General features: G+C 47.9%; 1 annotated feature.

Moving 5' to 3' along the window:
- Positions 11783 to 12423: a transcriptional cis regulatory region, noted in NCBI's record as "intergenic|chr19:49284045-49284685 region (GRCh37/hg19 assembly coordinates) targeted for CRISPR interference". NCBI's record gives its function as "positively regulates FUT1 gene expression in K562 cells {active_cell/tissue: K562}" and the evidence as "EXISTENCE:mutant phenotype evidence [ECO:0000015][PMID:31784727]".

A 13318-nucleotide genomic window follows, 5' to 3' on the forward strand; every position in this document is an offset into this window, starting at 1 on the left:
TTCACCATGTTGGCCAGGCGGCTCTCAGAACTCCTGACCTCAAGTGATCTGCCCGCCTCGGCCACCCAAAGTGTTGGATTACAAGCGTAAGCCATTGCACCTGGCCGAAAACCAATCTGTATCATAACCCCACGGCACCTGAATCATTTCTAAGTGTACAGTTAAGTCGCGTTAAGTATATTCACATTGTTGCACAACCAATCTTCAGAATTTTTTCATCTGATAAAATTGAAACTCTCTGCCGCAATTAAATCCCACTTCCCCAATTCTCCTCCCTTCAGCTCCTGGCCACTTTTTCCAGCCCCATTTGTTGAAAACATGGTGGTGAGCTCCTTGAATGACTGAGAAGCTTTTGTACATGGACAGGAAAATTCACAACAATTTGTTTTTTTGTTAATGATCAATGAATTTTTAAACAATTATCTTTCCTTTAAACATTCACAGACTACTTCTACAGCTAAAAATAACAAGCCACAAATTTCACAATTGTAGATTTCGCCTAAATATTTGAACAGTGATTGCACATTTAATCAGTGAACTTTTCACAAATCTGATATTGTGGTTTCCCTTAAATGCCATGAATAGGAGAAAAACAGTAATACACTCTGTCATACTTTTCACAAGTCTGATATACCAGATTCTTACAAATGCTTTAAATATTTTCGAGAAGGCTGGGCAAGGTGGCTTACACCTGTAATCTCAGCACTTTGAGAGGCCAAGGTAGAAGGATCACCTGAGCCCAGGAGTTCTAAACCAGACTGGGCAACATAGCAAAAGCCCATCTCTACCAAAAAAAAAAAAAAAAAAATTAGCCAAGTGTGGTGAAGCGCACCTGTAGTCCCAGCTAGTTAAGAGGCTGAGGTGGGAGGATCACTTGAGCTGGGGAGGTCAAGGCTACAGTGAGCTGTGATCACACCACTGCACTCCAACCTGGGTGATAGAGAGAGACCTTGTCTCAAAAATAAATAAATATGGCCGGTGTGGTGGTTCACGCCTGTAATCCCAGCACTTTGGGAGGCCGAGGTGGGCAGATCACCTGAAGTCATGGTGAAACCCCGTCCCTACTAAAAATACAAAAATTAGCCGAAAGTAGCCCAGTATGGTGGCGCATGCCTGTAATCCCAGCTAATTAAGTGGCTGAGGCAGGAGAATCACTTGAACCTGGGAGGCGGAGGTTGCAGTGAGCTGAGATCACGCTATTGCACTCCAGCCTGGGCGACAAAAGCGAAACTCCGTCTCAAAAAATACCCTCCCAGAGAGCTCCCTTACCCTTTCACCAAGTGGAAACACAGCAAGAAGGTGCCAGCAATGAACAAGGAAACTGGCCCACACCAGACACAGAATATGCTGCTGCCTTGATGTTGGACTCCACACCCTCCAGAACTATGAGAGATACATATTTGTTCCTTAAGCTACACAGTCTGTGGTATTTTTGTTACAACAGCCTGAATGCCCTCTTCCAAGTCAATTCTCACCAAGCCGACATTCCAGGGCAAAGCCCGTGTTATCTTAGAGTTTGTCGTAACCACATGAATTGGGTTATTTATTTATTTATTTATTTATGAGACGCAGTTTTGCTCGTCACCCAGGCTGGAGTGCAATGGCAAGATCTCGGTTCACTGCAACCTCCTCCTCCTAGATTCAAATGATTCTCCCGCCTCAGGCTCCCGAGTAGCTGGGATTACAGGCACCCGCCACCACGCCCAGCTAATTTTTTTGTATTTTTAGTAGAGACGGGGTTTCACTATGTTGGCCTGGCTGGTCTCAAACTCCTGACCTCAGGTGATCTGTCCGCCTCGGCGTCCCAAAGTGTTGGGATTTCAGGCGTGAGCCACCGCGCCCAGTCGACTCAGAGTGTCTTATTTTTATAATACAGCCTGAAAAACTTGTTCTAAGTCATAGTATTGTAATAGGTTGGGACATGAGATGATTTCACGGCTGTTTGTTCCAGGACCTTCTCCGGGAAACGTGTGGGGCATTTCCTCTTTGTTACACACTCAGGGTGAGCCCATTTTTCCTCTACTTGTTTGGGTGAAGCTTCGCCGCTGTCTCTGCCACAAAGCTGACCCTCCAGCTCTGTGACCCCCTTGGCAGCTGGCACCAGCAGCACGGGGCCCTGGCAGGGCGCTGGCTGGCAGGAGGAGGGGTGTAGGGATTTCTCACAAGACCCTAGTTCCACACTGCGTCTTGCCAGGAGCCAGGGACAGCAATGGCTCCAGCTTCCTGTTACTTTCTGCTCTTCCGGAAGTAGATTTCCAGGCCCCTCAGAGAGAGGTCCCAGACTCCATTAGGCCACACCCTCTTGGAGGTGAGAGACCCGCTGCCTGCAGCCCACTCCCTAGAGGTCTATTTGGTTTGCATAGTCGCCGTTTTTTCATAATAAAACTTAAAAAAAAAAAAAAGACCAATTAAAACCTGTAAAACAGGTGGCAGGTGATCAGGATTAGAATGCTTTGAAATCTTTTGTTATTCTGGAATATGACAGAATGATTATATTTAGATTTGGTCACTTTAAGGATGCATGTTAAAATTTCAAGAGTGGGCCAGGCGCTGTGGCACACCCTTGTGATCCGAGCACTTTGGGAGACCGAGGCAGGAGGATCGATTCCTTGAGCCCAGGAGTTCGAGACCAGCCTGGGTAACATGGTGAAACACCGTCTCTAAAAAAACATACAAAAATGTGCCGGGCATGGTGGCACACACCTACAGTCCCAGCTACTTGGGAGGCTGAAGTGGGTGGGTCGCCTGAATTCAGGAGTTTGAGGCTGCAGTGAGCTATGATTGCACCATTGCACTCCAGCCTAGGTGACAGAGCAAGACCCTGTCTCTAAAAATAAATAAATAAATTTTCTTAACTTGGAAACAGTCACAAACATTTAAAAATTTGGAAGTACAGTACAAGCAATTCTTATTTTCCAGAACCATTTGAAAGTCACATGTGCCCTTGAAACCCCATCACTACATTAACACATACTCCAGTGTGTACTTTCTGCAAACAAGGACATTCTCCTACACAACCACAGCAGGGCCGCCAAAATCAGGAAAGTAGCCTTGACCCACGACTACTCTGGAATCATCAGACCTCCTTCATGTTTGCCACATGTCCCAGTGATGCTTTTTATGGCAAAAGAATGCAGTTCAGAGCCGGGAGCGGTGGCTCACGCCTGTAATCCCAACACTTTGGGAGGCCAAGGCGGGCGGATCACCTGAAGTCAGGAGTTCGAGACCACTCTGGCCAACATGGCAAAACCCCGTCTCTACTAAAAATGCAAAAATTACCAAAAATGGATGCCTGTAACCCCAGCTACTCGGAAGGCTGAGGCAGGAGAATCACTTGAACCCTGGAGGAGGAGGTTGCAGTGAGCCGAGATCGTGCCACTGCACTCCAGCCCAGATGACAAGAGTGAAACTCTGTCTCAAAAATAATAATAATAATAATAATAATAAAATAGCCGGGCGTGGTGGCGGGCATCTGTAATCCCAGCTACTCAGGAGGCTGAGGCAGGAGAATCTCTTGAACCCGGGAGGTGGAGGTTGTAGTGAGCCATGATTGCACCACCGCACTCCAGCCTGGGCAACAAAGCGAGACTCTGCTCTCCCCACTGCCAAAAAAAGAATGCAGTTCAGGGTCATGCACTGCTTCTGAGGGCAGGTCTCTTTGAAAGTCAGGAAGGACAGTTCCTCAGTCTTCCCTGGTGTTCATGACCTTGGCATTTGGAACATTACAGGCCGGTTATCGAGTCGTCTCTCCCTCCATGTGGATTTATTTGATGTTTCCTCGTGATCGGATTCTTTGGCAGCACAACGACTGAGATCATGTTGTGTGTTTCTCACTGGAAGTCAGGTCACTCGCGGCGTCCACCTCTCCAGTTTCTGATGACATTTGCTTCAGTCACATGATGCAAGTGGCATCAGCCGGACTTGTCCTTGCCAAGCAATGAGAGCTTTGAAACTATACTAATATCACATTCCTCAGGAAATCTTCAGGATTTTTTGTTTTCTTTTTTTTTTTTTTTTTTTTTTTCAGACAGAGTCTCACTCTGTCGCCCAGGCTTGAGTGCAATGGCGCGATCTTGGCTCACTGCAACCTCTGCCTCCCGGGTTCAAGCAATTCTCCTGCCTCAGCCTTCTGAGTAGCTGGGATTACAGGTACATGCCACCACAGCCAGCTAATTTTTGTATTTTTAGTAAAGATGGGGTTTCACCATGTTGGTCAGGCTGGTCTCGAACTCCTGACCTCATGATCCACCCGCCTTGGCCTCTCAAAGTGCTGAGATTACAGGCGTGACCCACTGCGCCTGGGCCATTTTTTTTGTTTTTTTTGAGATGGAGTCTTGCTGTGTCGCCCGGGCTGGAGTGCAGTGCTACAATTTGGCTCACTACTTCAGTCTCCCAGCCTCAAGCGACTCCCACCTCAGCCTCCCAAGTAGCTAGGACCACAGGCACACGCTATGACACCCAGCTAATTGTTTGTCTTTTTGGTAGAGACGGGGTTTCATCATGTTGCCCAGGCTGGTCTCGAACTCCTGACCTCAAGTGATCCACCACCTCGGCCTCCCAAAGTGCTGGGATTACAGGTGTGAACCACCGTGCCTGGCTCAAGTTATTATTTTTTTAATTATATTTTTTAGAGACAGGGTCTTGCTCTATTGCCCAGGCTGGAATGCAGTGATGCAATCACAGCTCACTGCAGCCTTGACCTCACTGGACTCAGTGATCCTCCCACCTCAGCCTCCTGAGTAGCTGGGAACAGAATGCCATCACTGCAGGATGCCATGCCTGGCCCTTCCAGTTATTAATGGATTTATTTATGTCTGTGTGGACTCATGGTTTCCTATTTTATTCCATGAGTTATAATCAGTTATATCATTCTCTATTTTTGGTGTTCAAACTCATTTATTTTGATGCTCTTTTTATTTACTTTTTTTTCTTTCAAGACAGAGTCTCCATCTGTCACCCAGCCTAGAGTGCAGTGGCGCGATCTCGGCTCACTGCAACCTCCACCTCCTGGGTTCAAGTGATTCTCCTGCCTCAGCCTCCTGAGTAGCTGGGACTACAGGCGTGCACCACCACACTCGGCTAATTTTTTTGTATTTTTAGTAGAGACGAGGTTTCACCATGTTGGTCAGGCTGGTCTCAAATCCCTGACCTCGTGATCTGCCTGCCTCAGCCTCCCAAAGTGCTGGGATTATAGGCGTGAGCCACCGTACCCGGCTCTTTATTTACTTTTTGGGGTACTCTGTATTTAGTCCTCTATTTTCCCAATGGGAGCCCCCTCAAGCTGGTGGCTATGTGCTTTGTTTGTTTGTTTGTTTTTGAGACAGGGTCTTGCTCTGTCACCCAGGCTGGAGTGCAGTGATGTGATTCGGCTCACTGCTACCTCCGCCTCCCAGGCTCAAGCCTTCCTCCCACTTCAGCCCCCCAAGTAGCTGGGATTACCAGGCATGCGCCACCACGCCTGGCTAATTTTTGTATTTTTAGTAGAGACGGGGTTTCACCATGTTCCCCAGGCTGGTCTTGAACTCCTGGCCTCAAGTGATCTGCCTGCCTCAGCCTCGCAAAGTGCTGGGATTGCAGATGTGAGCCACCGCGCCCAGCCTGTTTGTTTGTTTTAATCAGCTCTCAAGGGCTTGGAAACCATGCGTTTTTGACAGGCCTCCATTAGTCACACTTGAGTCGTTCCTGATTTCTGGTACAGCAAAATGTTCTAGGCTCATTTTTTTTCTTTCTCTAAACCAGCTCTAGAATCAGCTGTTTCTCCAAGGAGCCCTGGTTCCTTTTAGAATGGGAAGCCAAGATCCAAACACTAACAGGGCTCGTTGCTTTTGTTTTTGAATTTTGTCTGCTAATGGATCCTCTCAGGGGACGGATTACATATACACACACACACACACACACACACACACACACACACACACACACCACGCACATATGTGGGGCCAGGCACAGTGGCTCACACCTGTAATCTCAGCACTTTGGGAGGCTGAGGCAGGAGGACTGCTTGAGCCCAAGAGTTTGAGACCAGCCTACGCAACATAGTGAGGCCCAGTCTCTACTAATAATTTAAAAATTAGCCAGGCGTGGTGGTGCACACCTGTGGTCCCAGCTACTCAGAAGGCTGAGGATGGAGGATCGCTTGAGCCCATGAGGCAGAGTCTGCAGTGACGCATGATCGTGCCACTGCATTCCAGCCTGAGCAACAGAGAGACACTCCATCTCAACGAACAAATATATACATGTATGTGTGTAGTATATTGTATATATCACATTGTACCTCATATATTACATTATATACTACAGATATCACATTGTATATTATATATCCACCATGTAATATGTCTATTATATCTATTTTGTGCATGTTATGTATATATGTGTATATATATCTACATAGGAGGTATGTATACATAGACACACATATATTAGGTATGTATACATTTGTATATTTCCATATCTATTTCTGCATATTGAGAACGACACATCCAATTCAAATCCAATATCTGGCCAGGCATGGTGGCTGATGCCTGTAATACCAACACTTTGGAAGGCCGAGGTGGGTGGATCACTTGAGGTCAGGAGTTTGAGACCAGCCTGGCCAACATAGCAAAACCCCATCTCTACCAAAAATACAAAAATTAGCTGAGTGTGATGGCAGGCGCCCACAATCCCAGCTACTCAGGAGGCTGAGGTGGAAGAATCACTTGAACCTGGGAGGCAGAGGCTGCAGTGAGCCAAGATGGTGCCACTGTACTTCAGCCTGGGAGACAGAGTGAGACTCCATCTCAAAAAAAAAAAAAAAAAGAAATCCAACACCTAGACTGGGTGCCGTGGCTCATGCCTATAATCCCAGCACTTTGGGAGGCCAAGGCGGGCAGATCACTAGAGGTCAGGAGTTTGAGACCAACCTGGCCGATATGGTGAAACGCTGTCTCCACTAAAAATACAAAAATTAGCTGGGTGTGGTGCTGGAGGCCTCTAATCCTAGCTACTCGGGTGGCTGAGGCAGGAGAATCGCTTGAATCCAGGAGGTGGAGGTTGCAGTGAGCCAAGATTATGCCACTTCACTCCAGCCTGGACAACAGAGTGAGACTCTGTCTCAAAAAAATAAATAAATAAAGACAAATTCAATACCTCTAGTTCTCTCCCTTTCCATATTTATATCTGCCTTTTCTGACAGTGAGAAATATGACTTCATTTTCTTAATTTCCTTATCGGTCAATTCTCCTCTATGTTAGCCATCTCTCATCTCCACAGCTGTCCCCTCCTTCCACCTCCCCTGTGCCCTCTGCACCCAGCTTGGGCTGACTTCCCGAGCTACAGCCCCCCATCCTATTAGCCTAGGGGACTTACGTTTCCTACTTGGGTGCCCCCCACTGTGCTGAGCTGCTCACATCAGTAAATGCCTCCTTCACCCCACTAAGGCCCTGACACCCCACTTCTGGGCCACTGTGCCCCCAACACCCCAAGCTGGCCTTGCCTGCCCCACCTCAAACCTTAGAACTTTATCGTTCAGGAAGACAAATTTAGGGAAGGGGAAGAATGCCGATTTCTATTTAATGTATTTGACCATATCAATGTTTTCTTTTCTGGCCTCTGAAGTTTGAGTCACGGTCATGCCCATGTTATAAAATAATTTTCCAATGCTTACTTCTCACTCGTTATGGTTTCCTATCTGATACTGAAGACTTTGATCCATCTGGAGTTTATTCAGTGGGTTATTTTTATTTTTTTATTCCTTCCTTCACTTGGATTGAATGGGTTTTCTGTATTCCCGCTTTTTCATATTTACTTTTTTAATCAAAGTTATATATGTACACAGTAAAGTCACACAGTGCTACGTGTTCAGTTTAACCTTCCCCATGCTGTCCCATTGGTAACTGATCTCTGAATTAGTTATAGCAATGTGAAACACTGGGACGGACCCACACTAAAATATCAGTGGTTTGAACAATTGTTTTTTTTTTTTTTTTTTTGAGACGGAGTCTCACTCTTTCATCCGGGCTGGAATGCAGTGGTGCGATCACTACAACCTCTGCCTCCCGGGTTCAAGCGATTCTCCTGCCTCAGTCTCCGGGGTAGGTGGGATTACAGGCACCTGCCACTATGCCCAGCTAATTTTTTGTATTTTTAGTAGACACAGGGTTTCACCATGTTGGCCAGGCTGGTCTGGAACTCCTGATCTCGTGATTTGCCGGCCTCGGCCTCCCAAAGTGCTGAGTGGCCGTGAGCCACCGTGCCTGGCCTAATTGATTTTTTTTTTTTTTTTTTTTACAGAGAGATGGGGTCTCACTATGTTGCCCAGTAGTCTCAAACTCCTGGGTTCAAGCAACCCTCTTGCCTTGGCCTCCCAAAGCACTGGGATTACAGGTGTGAGCCACTGCACCTGGCCCTACAGTTGATTTTTGTTTCTATTCATGTAAAGTCTAACTAGTAGAAAGACAGAGGGTCAAGGACTCAGGCTGATAGCAGCTCTGTCATTTTCTTTTTTTTTTCTTCTTCTTCTTCTATTTTTTTTGGTGAGATGGAGATTTACTCTTGTTGCCCAGGCTGGAGTGCAATGGCGCGATCTCGGCTCACCGCATCCTCCGCCTCCCGGGTTCAAGCGATTCTCCTGCCTCAGCCTCCCAAGTAGCTGGGATTACAGGCATGTGTCACCACGCCCGGCTAATTTTGTATTTTTAGTAGAGACGGGGTTTCACCGTGTTGCCCAGGCTGATCTCGAACTCCTGACCTCAGGTAATCCTCCCGCCTCGGCTTCCCAAAGTGCTGGGATTACAGGCGTGAGCCACTGCGCCCGGCCAGCTTTGCCATTTTCACACGTGGCCTCCAAGGTCTCTCTGGATGTGGGACGCAGGCTCCCAGGTGAACCGCAATGATCCCCACCTCTTGGTATCTATGCCATGTGCATTCCTTTCCCACATTACACTAGGGTTGGCCTTTGTGATGGATATCACAGGGCAGAAGTGGTGGGATGGGCCAGGCAGTCGCTCACACCTGTAATCCCAGCACTTTAGGAGGCTGAGGCAGGAGGATCACTTGAGCCCAAGAGGTCAAGACCAGCCTGAGGCCCCCATCTCTACAAAAAATTTAAAAATTAGGCCGGGCGCAGTGGCTCATGCCTGTAATCCCAGCACTCTGGGAGGCAGAGGTGGGCGGATCACCTGAGGTCGGGAGTTCGAGACCAGCCTGACCAACATGGAGAAACTCTGTCTCTACTAAAAAAATACAAAATTAGCCGGGCGTAGTGGGATGTAATCCCAGCTACTTGGGAGGCTGAGGCAGGAGAATCGCTTAAACCCGGGAGGTGGAGGTTGTGGTGAGTTGAGATCGCACCATTGCACTCCAGCCTGGGCAATAAGAGCAAAACTCCGTCTCAAAAAATTAAAAAAAAATTTTAATTGGCTGGGTGTGGTGGCGTGTGCCCATGGTCCCAGCTACTTGGCAGGCTGAGGCAGGAGTATCACTTGAGCCTAGGAAGTTGAGGCTCCAGTGAGCCATGACCGCACCACTGCACTCCAGCCTTGATGACAGAGGGGGACCCTGTCTCAAGAAAAAAAAAAAAAAGGAATGGTGGGATATGACATCTGAGACTAGGCTACAAAGACTGCGGCTTCCATCGTGGTCTCTCTCTCACTCTCTCTTTCATCACTTGCTCTGGGAGAAGCTAGTGGCCAAGACACGAGGAATGCCCAAGCAGCCCATGCAGACATCAACAGCCAGCGAGGAACTAAGGCCTCCAGCCAACAGCCCTGTGAGTGAGCTCGGATAGGCCAGGCTCAGTGGCTCACACCTGTAATACCAGCATTTTGGGAGGCCAAAGCAAGTGGATAACTTGAAGCCAGGTGTTCGAGAACCAGCCTGGCCAACATGGTGAAATCCCGTCTCTACTTAAAAATACAAAAAATTAGCTGGGTGTGGTGGCACGTGCCTGTAATCCCAGCTACTCGGGAGGCTGACGCAGGAGAATCACTTAAACCTGGGAGGCAAAGGTTTCAGTGAGTGGAGACTGTGCCACTGCACTCCAGCCTGGGCAACAGAGTGAGACTCTGAGACTCTGTCTCGAGAGAAAAAAAAAAAGAGGGTTCTCCAGCCTCTGTCGAGCCTTCACATGACTGCAGTCCTGGCTGACAAGCTTGACTGAAACCTGAACCAGGAACACCCAGCCGAGCTGCTTGGGATTCCTGACCCTCCAGAAACTATGTGAGAAGGCCAGGCACCATGGCTGACACCTGTAATCCCAGAACTTTGGGAGGCCGAGGCAGGCAGACCACTTGAGGTCAGGAGTTCAGGGCCATCTCTACTAAAAATACAAAAATTGGGAGGCCGAGGCAGGTGGATCACGAGGTCAGGAGATCGAGACCATCCTGGCTAACACGGTGAAACCCCATCTCTACTAAAAATACAAAAAATTAGCCAGGTGTGGCAGTGGGTGCCTGTGGTCCCAGCTACTTGGGAGGCTGAGGCAGGAAAATGGCGTGAACCCAGGAGACAGAGCTTGCAGTGAGCAGAGATCATGCCACTGCACTCCAGCCTGGTGACAGAGCGAGACTCCGTCTCAAAAAAAAAAAAAAAATTAGCCAGGTGTGGTGGTAGGTGCCTGTAATCCCAGCTACTAAAAAAAAAAGAGAGAGAGAGAAGGGAAAAAAAAAACTATGTGATACAATAAATATTTGTTGTTTAAGCTGTGAGGAATTAACTCAGGGGTAATTTGTTAGACAGCAATAGATGACTACTACACTGCTATCTGCATCCAACCGGCAGGTAGAGAAAAGAGAGAGGGCACATTAGAAGTTCCCTAATGGGTGTGGCTGGAAGTGAGGCAGGGCTCTTCTCATTGGCCAGAACCACTCACATAACCCCAGTGACTTGCAAGGGGTGCTGGGAGATATAATCCCCCCAGGGGCACTGTCACACAATAACAAATATATATTTGGTCTCTGTCCCCCCAGTTTCTGGGACAGAGCTTTGAAACCCCTTATAATTTCCCCAGTGTTAGGGATGCCAGCAGCATCTTTTGTTCTAATATTTGATCTTTGACCCCAGTTCCCGACAAAGGGCTCCTAAATCCCTTGGAATTTCCTGAGTAATGGGAGCATCATTTTTTCTTTTTTCTTTTTATTTTCTTCTTCCCTTTTTTTTTTTTTTTTTTTTTTTTTTTTTTGTTTGAGACAGCGTCTTGCTCTGTCACCAGGCTGGAGTGCAGTGGTGCAATCTCCACACACTGCAACCTCTGCCTCCTGGGTTCAAGCAAGTCTCCTGCTTCAGCCTCCCAAGTAGCTGGGACTACAGGTGCCCGCCACCATGCCTGGCTAATTTTTGTATTTTTAGTAGAGACGGGGGTTTCACCATGTTGGCAAGGTTGGTCTGGAACTCCTGACTTCAGGTGATCTACCCCCTTGGCCTCCCAAAGTGCTGGGATTACAGGCGTGAGCCACCACACCCAGCTGAGAGCACCTTTTTTTCTAATGAGGTGACTCTTGGTGGGCTCCTGATGGGGGCTGATCACCAGCAAGACTCAGTCAATATTAGAAGCATGGAACCTGTAGCCCCATCCCACTCCACATCTTTCCGGAAGAAGAGGGAACTGGAGCTGGAATTACTAATCTATCCTACTTATGCGCTGAAGTCTCCATAAAAGTCCCTAAAGTATGGGGGTGGGAGAGGTTCCTTGTAGCGTCCAGCCCTACAGGGCCTTGTGGGTTTTCTCTTCGTGTGTGGAGATGAGAGATTGTAGAAAGAAAGACATGAAACTAAGAGAGAGTATGAAAGACAGCTGGGCCCAGGGGGCCACTACCACCAGTGCATGGAGTCCATTAGTGGCCTCGAATGCCTGGACTGCTGCTATTTATTGTATACAAGGCAAGGGGGCAGGGTAAGGAGTGTGAGTCATCTCAAATGATTAATAAGGTCAAGCAAGTCACGTGTCCATGTGACAGGGGGCCTTTCCCTTTTTGGTAGACGAAGCAGAGAGGGAAGACAGCATACGGTCAGCATTTTTTCTATGTACTTATCAGAGAGATCAAAGACTTTAATATTTTCACTATTTCTGCTACTGCTATCTCCCAGGAACTTAAAAGAGGAACCAGGTGTACAGGCGGAACATGAAAGTGGACAAGGATCATGACCACTGAAGCACAGTACCACAGGGAGATGTTTAAGCCTCCGGATGACTGTGGGCAGGCCTGGCTAATGTCCGGCCTCCCACAAGAGGCTGGTGAGGCAGAGTGTTCTCTAACTCCCCCAAGGAAGGGGAAACTCCCTTTCCCGGTCTGCTAAGTAACGGGTGCCTTCCCAGGCACTGGTGCTACCACTAGACCAAGGCGTCCTTAAGCCCTTATCTGGGCGTGGCGGAGGACTTTCACTCTTGTCTTCTGGTCACATCTCACCATGTCCCTTCAGCTCCTGACTCTGTATCGCCTGGTTTTTCCTCAGTTATAATAATAAAACAGAGATTAATACTAAAACTAATAATTGATAATATCCATATATAATCATCTCTATATCCTATTGCTAGTATAACTTTTCTTATTCTAAGTATTTTCTTTATTATATTGAAACAGTATGTGCCTTCAATCTCTTGCCTCAGCACCTGGGTGGCTCTCTGCCCACAGTTCCGGGCGGGGAAGCACCCCAACTCCATGGAGACGCCCAACCTGGAAGCTCCCCCAAACCCATCCTTTGCTCCCGTGCTCGGGAGGCGTTCAGATGTTGCCCTTTGCACCTCTTTATCTGACAGGTTTTATTTAATTATATGATAAACTGATAAATGTGTTTTCCTTAGTTCTGTGAGGCATTGTAGCAAATTTCTGAGCCTAAGGAGGGAGTCATGGGAACCCCCATTACTAGCAAGTCAGAAGCTCGGGTGAGACCACGTGGACTTGTGATTGGCATCTCCCAAGGGGCAGCCTCGTGGGACTGAGCCTTTCACCTGTGGGATCCGATGCTATCTCCAGGTAGATAATGTCAGAGTTGGATTGAATTGTGGGACACCCAGCTTGGGTAGGAGAATTTGTCAGCGTGGGAAAAACCCCACACACCTGGTCACAGAAGTGTTGAGTGTGAGCCTGAGAAAAACAGGTGTTTTTTTCTAGATAAGATCCATGGAAGGGGAACACAATTTTTTTTTTTTTTTGAGACAGCTCTCTGTCGCCTAGGCTGGAGTGCAGTGGCGCGATCTCGACTCACTGCAAGCTCCGCCTCTCGGGTTCACGCCATTCTCCTGCCCCAGCCTCCCTCCTCCCGAGTAGCGGGGACTACAGGCGCCCACCACCACGCCCGGCTAATTTTTTGTATTTTTAGTAGAGACGGGCTTTCACCG

Source organism: Homo sapiens, chromosome 19 (assembly GCF_000001405.40).
Source record: "Homo sapiens chromosome 19, GRCh38.p14 Primary Assembly".
NCBI lineage: Eukaryota > Metazoa > Chordata > Mammalia > Primates > Hominidae > Homo > Homo sapiens.